The sequence below is a fragment of the Homo sapiens genome, chromosome 6, assembly GCF_000001405.40.
Source record: "Homo sapiens chromosome 6, GRCh38.p14 Primary Assembly".
NCBI lineage: Eukaryota > Metazoa > Chordata > Mammalia > Primates > Hominidae > Homo > Homo sapiens.
The window spans coordinates 14,033,356-14,046,769 of record NC_000006.12 but is presented as its reverse complement, the minus strand read 5'-3'; the positions used below and the strand labels follow the sequence as shown (position 1 = coordinate 14,046,769).

The following is a 13,414-nucleotide window of genomic DNA, read 5'->3' as shown; positions in this document are numbered from 1 at the left end:
TGGGGGGGTCCAGATGAGCATAATGTGCCCACTGAATATTTGTGCATGCAGGTCATTATTCTTTGGTCCTCGGGGAGAGAACGATCCATGTTCCAGCCAATAGAGGGAGACTGAGAGCAAGACGTAGCTCCGTGGTGCCGAGCTCCTAAGCAAACACCTGACAGGGCAACGTGGAGTCATCTCCAACAATTGCCAAGTGAGTAAATTACCCAGTAACTCTCAGCCAGGAAAAACTTCTTAATAGTATTTTTTATTATTAATTATCACCAGGCCATAGAATACTTTTTCTGTTGAGGATTTTCTTTCCTTGCTCATGCAGAAACAGTACTCTTGCGTGATGGGCAGAGTTCAGTTGGGGCACAAACATGTATTTTTTTCCCCAGGACTTATCAGTGAGGCTGAATCAATGAGCTAGCCATACAGAAATAAGAATTCTGTGACTTCTCACAGCATAAAGAGCATTTATTTGGAATGTTTGCATGATGATCCTCTCACACTGAATTAACCAGCGATTTGGTTCATGAAGTAGTCCATTGCTTTAACATAATGTACGTCCAGACACAGTAGTTGTTGAGAAAATGGGGTCTAAAAAAAGAAAGTTTGTTGCTCAGGGGCAGGGAGGAAATAATAGATAATAAAATAATAAAAATAATATTTTTTTTGGCCGGGTGCAGTGGCTCACACCTATAATCCCAGCACTTTGGGAGGCTGAGGCGGGCAGATCACCTGAGATCAGAAGTTCGAGACCAGCCTGACCAACATGGGGAAACCCTGTCTCTACTATAAATACAAAATTAGGTGGGTGTGGTGGCGCATGCCTGTAATCCCAGCTACTCGGGAGGCTGAGGCAGGAGAGTCGCTTGAACCCGGGAGGTGGAGGTTACGGTGAGCTGAGATCATGCCATTGCACTCCAGCCTGGGCAACAGGAGCGAAACTGCGTCTCAAATAATAATAATAATAATAATAATAATATTTTTAACACCCCCAACCTACAGCAGTGACCCTCTTGTTTAAAAAAAAAAACTCTAAAATTCAGAGTAGATATCTAGCCCTATCTGGTTCAACCAGCATAAATGAGGCTTCAGTAAAACTCAAGAACCAGAAAATCACTATTTACACAAGTGCCTCATGCCCCCATATGGCCCCCATAATGTCTAATACACATAGGGAAAGCTCAAAACCTATTTTTTGCTGCCAGAAATGTAGGGTGGGCATCCAATAGGCATTCTCTTAACAGGCTTGCCCTTTTCCTAGGGTAGACAGAATCAACATCTCAACAGTTTGCCATCCACAACCCTCACCCAGAGTCATTACTGTTGCCTACTGGCTTTACCTCACCGCAGGTGCTGGATAGAAAACCCGCACCTCTGGCCAGGCGCGGTGGCTCACGCCTGTAATCCCAGCACTTTGGAAGGCCAAGGCTGGTGGATCACTGGAGGTCAAGAGTTCGAGACCAGCCTGGCCAACATGGCAAAACCCTGTATCTACTAGAAATACAAAACATTAGCTGGGCGTGGTAGCGAGTGCCTGTAATCCCAGCTATTTGGGAAGCTGAAGCAGGAGAACTGCTTGAACCCCGGAGGCAGAGGTTGCAGTAAGCAGAGATTGCGCCATTGCACTCCAACCTGGGCGACAGAGCAAGACTCTGTCAAACAAAAACAAAAACAAAATCACCTGCACATCCCACATTAAAGCATAACGATAACTTCAGAGCCACGTATTGAGCACTCTCTATGTACTATTTTACATCATTCACACATTGTACTATCTAGTTCCCCTCCCTCCCTGCCTCCCAGTTAATCACGTGGACGTTCAGACCCATCTTAATACGATAGAAGTTCAGAAAGTTTCAGCAAGTGGTTGGAGAGGTGGCAGAGCAGAGAATTCAGGCTGTACGTAAAAAGTTGTAAGCCGTAGACTTTAATCACTTCCTAATTCTTATTTGGCAGAATTTTCATAGCAGGAATGTTTTGAAATACATAGCTTCTGTGGAAAATGATGGGCATTATAATTTGAAGAGAGTTTTTGTTTTTATGGTTTGGGGCTTTTTAAAAATGCTTGCTTTTATCTGCATAATGTACTCATTACTAAAACCATGCTTCAGAAAAGAAACTGGCAATCCACTTAATGGTAGGGTATTTTGTGTCATTTTTTCTTTTCCTTTCTGAACATAAAATAACCATTGATGACCTCTATTTGTTCCCAAGACTTTATATTTCTCACACTGTACAGGAAAATAGCATCAAAGGCCACTAGACCATGTGAGAACCTCGTGAGCTAGGAAGCACGTATTGATAAGACATATATAACATCAGCATTACCCCATCTCATCTTCCCAATGTCCTGCAACACTTGAGAAGGCTATTTGGAGCGAGTTGCAGTAGACAGAAGCTTCCTTGGCCCCAGGGAACTGTCCAGGGAGAAGCTGGGAGGAATCTGTGTTTGGCTCAGTGGCACCCCCATCTGGAGACCAAGAGAAGCGCTGGCTGACTGTCCTGGCTTCCTTCCTTAAAAGGATTCATTAGGCTGGGCGCGGTGGCTCACGCCTGTAATCCCAGCACTTTGGGAGGCCAAGGCGGGCAGATCACGAGGTCAGGAGATAGAGACCATCCTGGCGAACACGGTGAAACCCCGTCTCTACTAAAAATACAAAAAAATTAGCAGGGCGTGGTACCAGGCGCCTGTAGTCCTAGCTACTCGGGAGGCTGAGGCAGGAGAATGGTGTAAACCCAAGAGGCGGAGCTTGCAGTGAGCCGAGATCGCGCCACTGCACTCCAGCCTAGGCAACAGAGTGAGACTCCATCTCAAAAAAAAAGAAAAAAAAAAAAAAGATTCATTAGTAACTGGGGCAGAATCTATTCCCCAGGGTGCGCACAAAGCCCTTTTCACTTTCACAGCCAACAAACACTTTGATGTCCAAAGCCTCGCCAAAAAAAAAGCAGCCATTTCCTCTCACAGCAATAATATCAATTCCCCACGTTTTAATGGAACTCTGCACTTAACAAACACTGTCACACCCATTATCATCTCATTAGATTTCAGTGAAAGAACGAGTAGAGCAAAAGCAAAATAATTCTTTTCTCAGAAATAACTGTGAATGAGCCAGTGGTTTATGTTCGCCGGGACATTGCACCGTTCATAATTAACGTCATCTCCGTTATCAGCCTCTTGTGGTCCTCAATGCTTCCCCAGGGAGAAACTGAACTGTAAAGAAAACCAGGTTGGGGAATCGAGCCCAGCTTAGTGTCACCTCATTGATGTGACTCAATGCCTGGTGGATACACGTGTTTCTCTGGGTCACCCAGATTTGGTCAAATGCTCTTGCTGGGGGTTCTGCCTTCAGCAATCAGCAGTAGGGTAGGACATAGAACTCCCTGAGAAAACAAACAAACAAACAAACAACAAAACCTATTACATGGTATATGGAAAGATACATCTGAGAGATTTGGTAAAGAGGCTCTGTTGCCCACCACACCAAGGTGCCGATGGGCTTCTCCCTGGTCTATATGCCCTTTGGGCACCAGCTGCCTCCTGGCCCACCACCCATCCTCATGCAGGGACTCCTGGCCTCTGGCCTCCCGTATCCTTCCTTCTGGCTCTCTCTACATCCCATCCTTTCCTTTTCCGGGCCTTGCAGTTTTTTCCTGCTTTCTCCAACCTTGTCTCCTCACACTCATTCGTTCACTCGTATTTATTGAGCAGCTGCGATGTAGCAGACGCTGCTCCAGGGGCTGGAATTACAGCAGGGAACGAAGCAAAGCCCCCACCCTTATGTACTTTATGCTCTAGCCAGAGAGATGGAGGGCAAACAGATATACAATGCTCTGCTACTAGAGAGTGAACAGGGGCGCGAAGAGAAATAAGACAGAAATAGGAAAGAAGAGATGGGAAGGGGAGATTTGAGATAGGCCAATGGCTCTTATCCAGGGGAGATTTTGATTGGTGTCTGATTCATAAACACCTTTTGGCTAAGGCTTTGCACAAAAGTAAAATTAAAAATACTCACATAAAAGAGTGCCTTGGACATCTGTACCTGGATGTGATTTCAGTTCTGCCACTTACTGGTAGTTCCTTTACTTCTTCAGTCTCCATTTTCTTAACTTGAAATGGGAACTTGGCCTCTTCTGCAGGGTTATGGTACAGATTAGGTGAGATGATGTGTCCTGTGTGCACAGTGTCCGGCACACAGGAGCACTGATGTGTGGTAGCCGTGACGACAGTGATGGTCCAGATGATGGCAAGACCAATAATCCAATAATAAGCAGGTACTTATTAGACATATTTGGGGCTCTCAGCCCCATATCAGGCACTGTTCAAAAAATGGTGGGGAAACTATGACCTTTGACTTAAAAATACTGCCCCCCACCCAACACTTGTAACACAGCTTTCTAGGCACAGAATGGGGGAGAGCTACCTTTGTCCCCGTCCCACCCACTTCAGTTTCTCATAGCCTCAAAATCAAAATCATAGAGGTAGGAAAGATCTTAAGATCAAGTCTCACCCATCCATGTTATAGATGAGGAAGATGAGGCCCTGAGAGCAGAAGTGATCGCATCCTTGGTAGAAGTCTGTGGATAGTGGCCTGACTATTTCTTTTGGGCATAGTGGTGAGGAATGCTTAAGAGTAGAGGCTACCGGGCATGGTGGTGCACGCCTGTAATCTCAGTTACTTGGGAGGCTGAGGCAGGAGAATAGTTTGAACCCAGGAGGCAGAGGTTGCAGTGAGCTGAGATTGTGCCACCACACTCCAGCCTGGGCAACAGGGCAAGGCTCTGCCTCAAAAAAACAAAAACAAAAAAGTAGAAAAGTAGAGGGAGACTGCATAGGGTGGAGGGCTACTAGAAGATGGAGAGGCAGGAGATGAAGGGGGTCCAATCAGCACTCCCTCCCCAGGTAGGTTCCTGGCAGTGGACTACCCAAACACATCTTATTTACGTACTGTTTCTTTCTTCTTTTCTTCATCTACTAAGATAGAAGCTGTGTGAACTCTATCAAGCTTCTTGTGTATCTGGTTCTCCTCTATAGCCCTAGTCCTTAAAACTTTCCCCACACTCCAACAAACATATGAAAAAAAAAGCTCATCATCACTGGTCATTAGAGAAATGCAAATCAAAACCATAATGAGATATCATCTCACGTCAGTTAGAATGGCGATCATTAAAGTCTGGAAACAACAGATGCTGGAGAGGATGTGGAGAAATAGGAACACTTTTACACTGTTGGTGGGAATGTAAATTAGTTCAATCATTGTGGAACACAGTGTGGCAATTCCTCAAGGATCTAGAACCAGAAATACCATTTGACCCAGCAATCCCATTACTGGGTATATACCCAAAGGATTATAAATCATTCTACTATAAAGACACATGCACTCGTATGTTTATTGCAGCACTATTTACAATAGCAGACTTGGAAACAACCCAAATGCCCATCAGTGATAGACTGGATAAAGAAAATGTGGCACATATACACCACGTAATACAATAGTATATAATCAGTCATAAAAAAGAATGAGCTCATGTCCTTTGCAGGGACATGGATGAAGCTGGAAACCATCATCCTCAGCAAACTCACATAGGTACAGAAAGCCAAACACTGCATGTTCTCATTCATAAGTGGGAGTTGAACATTGAGAACACATGGACACAGGGAGGGGAACATCACACACCAGGGCCTCTCGGGGGTTGGGGGAAAGGGGAGGGAGAGCTTTAGGACAAATACCTAATGCATGTGGGGCTTAAAACCTAGACGGGTTGATGGGTGCAGCAAACCACCATGGCACATGTATACCTATGCAACAAACCTGCACATTCTGCACATGTATCCCAGAATTTAAAGTAAAAATAATAATAATAAAACTTTTCCCTACACTGAGCAGGTGCTCAATAAACCCAGAAGAAGTGCTCACCACCTGCACAGGCTCAACTGCTCCCTCAGAGATCATGATGAAAACCCCATCTCTCCCTGCCTGGGAACCTCGGTGCCTCCAATCCAGACAAAAATCCCCATGACAGTCAAATCACAAACACTTTTAAACAGCAGCTACTTATTTTTATTATGGCTTTTATCAGTAACAACAGTAGTATTTTAAAAGTATACGGAGGTCGAGCGCGGTGGCTTATACCAGTAATCCCAGCACTTTGGGAGGCTGAGGTGGGCAGATCACTTGTGGTCAGGAGTTCAAGACCAGCCCGGCCAACATGATGAAACCCTGTCTCTACTAAATATACAAAGATTAGCCAGGCATGGTGGTGGGCGCCTCTAATCCCAGTTACTTGGGAGGCTGAGGCAGGAGAATCACTTGAACCCAAAAGGCAGAGGTTGCAGTGAGCAGAGATCATACCACTGCACTCCAGCCTTGGCAACAGAGTGAGACTCAGTCTTAAAAAAAAAAAAAAGTGTATGGAGATCAACAATAAGCCAGTGTTTTCATATGCATTATTGGACTCTTTCCAATGTATCACCAAACTCTTTTTAAATCATGAACATTCTCCTGTTAACCACCCTATTGGTTGGGCCTTTTGTCTTATTCCATTTCAAAGAGTTGGGCTGAACCTGGTAAAAATCTCCACCAGAGGGGGCAGAATTAGTTTAGAAGGGTCTTGGGACCAAATATAATCAGAAAGATGTACACTCAGGTGACTTGAAGGTACAGCCAGGAGACAACCAAGATTGTTAATCCAAGGTCACAGCCAAGAGCTTGCAGTGCTTTGCATCAAATCCCAAAAAACAAAGGATGTCAATCAGAGAATGAACAGCACTGTTGGTGACTGAGAGGGTCCAAATAAAATGTCACAACTGAGCACGGAAAAGGGTTCAGCACGGATTTGTCAATGTAGTAAAGCAATCTGTTTGGTGCCTGTACCAAAAGTCTCAGAATGAGAGCTTAAAGGAGATTTTGAGTGGGCCCCTGTGGGTCACTTCCCACTTCTCAGTCTCCAGGTTAAAGGAACGTGGAAGAGATATGTTTTGATGGAGGATTAAGTCTGACGGGAGCATGTAGCCTTGGTCTCTGCAGCTCTGTCATCATTTGCTTTTAATTTCATGAAGAGCTTTAATGTGGGGTGAAAGCAGTATAAACATTCAATAAGTGGTGTGTCTTTGTCACTTTTAAATAATGATACTAAAGCAATAAGCTTCTTGCTACGGAAAATGGAGATGATATAAAATGGGCAGTTGAGATGATTCCCTAAATAATTTGGGAAGAAACAAATAACCAGCTACTGGGAAGGAAGTGCTTATTAAGTCTAAGGTGTATTGTCCAGTTTTGTACACCTGTCCTTTCATTCAACAAGTATTGACAGTTCTCTAAACACCTGCCTCCACTAGATAATTCTATTGCACTTCTCTATTCTGCTTGTGCAGACACAATCTTTCTCTCTCCACAGCCGAGAGACTTGCCAATTGCCAAGTTCAGCTACAAGGAGGTCTACGTTGGTGACTGAGGCCCTCGGAATTGCATTCTCACTCACTATGGGCAGTTCTCACTCACGATTTGGTGAGGTGTCCAGCTCCTTATCAATGCAGCCCAGGAGGCAAGATGGAGATACTCCCCCAACCCTGGAGAAGAATCACCAATCAGAATGTCTTGAAAGCATCTCTCAGTTGCTAAGTAATAAATGCTTCTGTTGGTAGTGCCCTCACTCTGATTTTGACATAGGGAAGAATGAGAAAATCAAGGTTCCCACCCTGGTAACAGAATGCCCATGACCCCAGCTATACTCAAGTAATTGGTTTTTACACAACCTGCTTAAAAGAGGACACATGACAGATCTCTCAAAGGCCTGTGGAAACAGGCACAATCTGTTTTAAAACCTCAGCAAAGAAGAAAAAAAGGCCTTGGAGTAAGAGAACATACAAGATTAATGATCTCCCTGCACTGTAGGGAGAAGTCAACACCAGCTGGGGATAGATCTGTCAGAGGCAATGAACGTGATGAAAAAAGGCAGCTGATAAGTTCATTCGGTGTAGAATTTCAACTATGATCTATGGATACACACTGCAAGTACAGGAGCATCATTTTTTTGCAGAGTATAAATACCCCAGAATACAAACGAACCAGCTCTAGTTCTCATTTTGTCCTGACCCTGCATCCTGTTGTAAGTCATATTAGTCAGAGGCAACAAACAGGACAATTGTGAATATTCAGTTTCTTTAAACGATGGTGGAGGAAATGTGTCTGTAATATGCATTTTCATAATGAAACCAACTCAAGAAGTCAACTTCTTATTTACAAGGATACTTGTTTATTCTAATATTTTACAGGTATAAATATACCAAGTGTGGTGGGGTGTAGTGGCTCACATCTGTAATCACAGCACTTTGGGAGGCTGAGGCAGGAGAATCACTTCAGCCCAGGAGTTCAAAACTGCAGTGAGCTATGATTGCACCGCTATTCTCCAGCCTGGGCTACGGAATGAGACTCTGTCCCTAAATACCAAGTATGTATTATTTCCATGTAATGCATAATATTTTGAGTATATTAAAACTGAAGCTCATGAGGGATTCTGGTTTAAGCTCAGTTGTTATGTTGGACGGCACATGGCCCCAGCTTCCTCACTATGTAGGGCAAAAATTTCTACAGTGACGACCGTAAGGAGAAAAGATAATCAAATTATGTGAGCGGGTCTCATTTCAATGATGTCAGACTCATGTAGCTGATTTTGTAACATTTTTACTAGATGTTTGATTGAATTAACTTTAGAATTTCAACCCACAAATAATCTAATAAAGGTAGGGTTTGAATCCATAAGTCATCTAAATTCAGGCGGCATTGAATTTGCTTCCCCAAACCTTTTTCAGAAGCTTATGTCTTCAACGCAAGGCTCAGCTGTCGCTTCCCATCCTCTGCAGGTGATCACAAGCTGTCAAGCAACAGAGGGGCCATTGCCTAAAAAGGACAGTGAGCAACAGCAAGCCGACAAACACACCCTACAAATTAGGGCGGCTCTGCCCCAGTGAGGGTCAGTCAGTGTCCAAGAAGCTTTGAATGCAAGAACTAGGTGATCACTTGGAGATTCAGTCCAGAGCTGCAAAATTCAGGGATCCAGATCACCCAAATGGTGAATGGATTGGAATCCTCTTCTGCTAATTCCTCTCCCAAGCTCTATTGAAAGATGCCGGGTTTAAAAACAAAAGCAAAACAACACAACCCCAAACTGGAAATATGTGGCTTCCAAACCATGAGTCAGCTCTGGTTCCAACTACCGCCCATCTGGCATACACAGCATAAATCCACATGTTTCAGAGGCTTTTCTAGTAACAACACACAAAATTTAAATCCCAAATCTGTGATTTTAGCCTGAAAAGTTTTTTAAAACCAGAAAAAGAGAGAACGACTTTATACTTAGAAATGAGGAGTACCACAGCTCATTTATATATACACGGGTTGACTAAAACCTGGAGCTGGGTGTTTTTAACCTGAATTTTTTATCAGAAAATGAGAAAAAGAGAAACTTTCCAAAGCACCTGCGGTTTCCAGATCTTGGGGAGAAGGTAAAGCATTTTAGAGACGTTTCAGATAATATTTTCTCATTTTAAAATATGAGTGATAGCTTTAGGGCATGTGCATAGAGAGAGAGAGAGAGAGAGAGAGAGAGGAAGAGAGATTGAAACAAAGAAATTGAGAGAGAAAGAGGAAGGGAGACAGTGAGAGGGGCTTTTTCTTGCCATCATTTCCCAATTCTTTTCCATCTCTGTCTCGACCGGGCCAGCTACAACTCCCTACCTCTATACCAACAGGTCCACATCTATTTCTCTTACATGGCTATGAACTAGAAATAATGAGCTTTTATAATTTATTTTGGGATGTGAATAATTTTTCAAAAAATCTTATACTGTGGTTGGGTGCAGTAGCTCACGCCTGTAATCCCAAAACTTTGGGAGGCTAAGGCAAGTGGATCACTTGAGATCAGAAGTTCAAGACCAGTCTGGCCAACATGGCAAAACCCCATTTCCACTAAAAATACAAAAAAATTAGCCGGACATGGTGGTGCACACCTGTAATCCCAGCTACTTGGGAGGCTGAGGCACAAGAATCACTTGAACCCAGGAAGTGGAAGCTGCAGTGAGCCGAGATCACACTACTGCATTTCAGCCTGGGCAACAGAGTGATATTCTGCCTCGAAAAAGAAATCTTATATGGTGATTTTTTTTTCTGCCTGTGGTTTCAGTGGCCCTTCATAGAAACAGGTTCCCCACCCTTCACTCCGCTGATGATACATCACGTAAAAACCCTTCAGTGGGGACAAAATTAACTTCCCTCCCTTAGAGAAGAGAAAAATCGTCAAGTATTGTAACTTCAGTCTTCTGTTTACATACACAATGGTTCTGATTCCTCGCTTTTGTCTCTGGTCATCTTAACCTTGAGTCCCCACTGCTTACATGCTGACCCTTGAGCAGGGAGGGAAAGATATGCCAAGCTGTCCCCGTGATGATGGTGACAGGGGAGAATATTTAAGGTACAACAGAAGTCGCTCCCTCCAAAAGAGAAGTACTGAGATGAGGGTTGGTTTCAGGGTATGCCCCATGAGGGGTCGTCATTATACTTCCAATTCTGAAAAAAAATCCTGTCTGGAAGCACACAGATTTTTTGAACTCTGTTTTTCTTGACTGTGGTCTAGTATTTACAAATTCCTTCGAAGCATGTACTTGTCAGCCAGTGCATACTTCAAGAATTAGCTTTAGAAATATGTCTGTGTGCATATACACATTAAAATATGTGCATTCTGTTTTCAAAGTAGTACAATGAGAGGCTGATGAGCTTAGCTAGAGAAGTTGTACGATGTCCTGTCTGTCCTCTCATGAGCCCATGACCCAGCAGGCAAGTTTTAATACAGAAAATCAGCAGAAGAGAGGTCTTACTGTCATAGAAGAATACCTTGATCTACTGCTGTATTAGTATGTTAGGATAAATAACTGCAACAACAACCCCCAAATCTCAGTGGCTTGGTACAATATAGGCCTATTCCTTACTCAAATCACATGGAAAGCAGTTTGGTAGCTCACTTCCAGGAGGTGACTCAGGAATCTAAGTTCCTTCCATCTTATGCTGCCACCATCTTAAACACGTGGACTTCCACGTTGTCACAGAAGGGGAAGAAGGAGCATGTCGGGTTTTTATGCCAGGCCCAGAAGCAGCTTGAATCTCTCCCAGCCACATTCCACTGGCGAAAACCCAGTCATCTGGCCCCAGCCTAAGTAGAATGGAATTTGGGAAATGCAATCTCCCAGGGTGCCTGGAAGAGAAAACAGGATTGATATTTAGCCAACCCCTGCCATAGGTGATTTTTCTTCAGTCTATTACGTTTTTAAACTTTGAGTGTGCTAAATAAATAAGCAAAGGTAACAAAGAAAAAGCTAAATAAGAGCTTTGTACGTCTGATAAAATTAGACCTCTGATCGGACCCAATTTCCCCAAGTGGCAGACCAAATGGAGCTACACCAGGGTAGAACATCCAATATACAGACCTCAAAGGTACTTTTTATTCCAACGTGTATAGACACCACACCTTGCAGGAGCTGTCTTACCCAAAGGGCATCCCAAGACAGGGAGTGCCGTTGCAACACTACGACGATCCGGCCTCGAGGTGGGTGTATCCATTGGGCCCTAGCTGAGGAAGGAGGGACAAGCCACTCCTGAGAATTATTCTACAACTGTGCTATTCCCTAGTGAAATGAGGACAAGCGAGGGACAGAGGGCTATCCAGTGAAGTGGGGGGTCCAGGACCATTCTTAGCAGGGTGGGGGACCCCAACAGGAACCAGATCATACTGTGCACCTCCACACACACCATGTGCCCGTGCTGTGTTCCCTACCCCAAGGAATGCCACCACCATCCACCCATTTCCCCAAGCCAGGCTCCTCTCACTCCTACCTCCTACTACACAACATTGCCACTCTGTTGACCTCACCTCCTGGCTCTCTCTCCAAGGCATCCCACTTTCTTAATCTCACTGCCTCATGACCGCTCCCTGGTCTTCTGCCGCAGCCTCATACCTGGCCTCCCTGCCTCGAGAGAGGCACCAACGCTTCAGGGGGCAGAGTACTTGTTCTAAAACATAAAGCTGCTCATGTCATCCCTGTTTAAAACCCCTAATATAGCTGAAGTTCCCATTGCCTTTAGAACAAAACTCAGAATCCCTGGCATGACCATCAAAACCCCACATAACTGGTTTCTTGCTTGTTCACCCAGCCTCGGCTTTCTCCATTGCCCCTTCTCCCGAACGCCCCCATGCATGCTACAACCAGCTAAGCGTTACCGCTTGCAGTTCCCAATATGGGCTCCTGCCCCTTCCTCTGCCTCAAACTCTCACCCTCTCACCTTCTCCCTCCTCGCCAGATGACTTCCCACTTGTCTCCAACAGGACAACGAACAAAATATTCCTCTGTTCCGACTCCAGAAGGAATGATTGGAACATGGTACCATTCGTATTGAAGAGGGAATCTGACTAGACGTAGCGTCATAGCCCCAGGTCACTGTTTGGCAGAGATTTGGGTCAAAGTATTGTTATCAGAAGAAATCTGCCTTCCTTCACGCAGACTAGATTGGGAGTTCAGCCAGAGAAGCACTCTCCAGGGTGGACTCCAAGTCTTCTTATATGCACTTGAAAAGCACCCATGGCCCCACATTGCAGGTGAAGAGGAACCTCCCTGAAATGGAGGTGCCCACAGGCACCTTGCTGTTGTTCCTCTCTCTGACCCCATCTCAGCCCTCTCTCCGGAGAAGTCATCAGGAGCCAGGGCAGACAGAGACAATATGGAGTCTCGTCATGTTGCCCAGGCTGGTTTCGAAATCTCAGGCTCAAACAATCTTCCTGCCCCAGCCTCTCGAGTAGCTTACAGGTGAGAGTCACCATGCCCAGAGGGACAGAGACACTAGTGACATTGACTGGCAGAATTTGTAGCTTCTCGAGACAGCCTTAGGACTGGAGCTCATCAGTTATTCCATGGGGGAGCTTGTGAGCTGATGGAGAATGCATGGACACCAGGCAGCGAGGGTTAAAGGGGCTGTAGAATGGCCACAGGGAGGACTGGGGGAATGAGAGTACTCTGAAGGTGTAGTCATGTAGTCAGTGAGTCCTCTGCTGATGCCCCAAAGAGGAGATTCAGAGGCAGCAAATGCATCTGCACTCTACAAAAGGCGCTGCACCATCTACGGAGGACTGCCTATGGGTCCCCTAAACCAAGCGTGTGACCTCGAGCCCAGGGCTGCCTGCAGGCTCTGCGCCAGGGGTGAGAGCGATCAGGGAGCAGGTGCAAGGCAGGATTCCTGATGGTCTGGAGGGCTGGGTGTTCCCTCACCCATGTTACGAAAAGGACAGGGGTTCCTGAAGTCAGGTGAAGGGGTTTTTAGAGAAATACTTGCAGAACATGATGTGGCCCCTGGAATCTGGAGGACCCAGAGAGAGAGGG

The 13,414-nt window shown here is 45.1% G+C and overlaps 1 annotated feature.

Annotated features, from left to right (window-relative positions):
- Window positions 10,655–11,854: an enhancer, noted in NCBI's record as "CDK7 strongly-dependent group 2 enhancer chr6:14035147-14036346 (GRCh37/hg19 assembly coordinates)". NCBI's record gives its function as "activates an origin of replication core promoter dependent on BRD2, BRD4, P300/CBP, MED14 and CDK7 cofactors, with strong dependence on CDK7, by STARR-seq in HCT116 cells {active_cell/tissue: HCT116}" and the evidence as "EXISTENCE:reporter gene assay evidence [ECO:0000049][PMID:35650434]".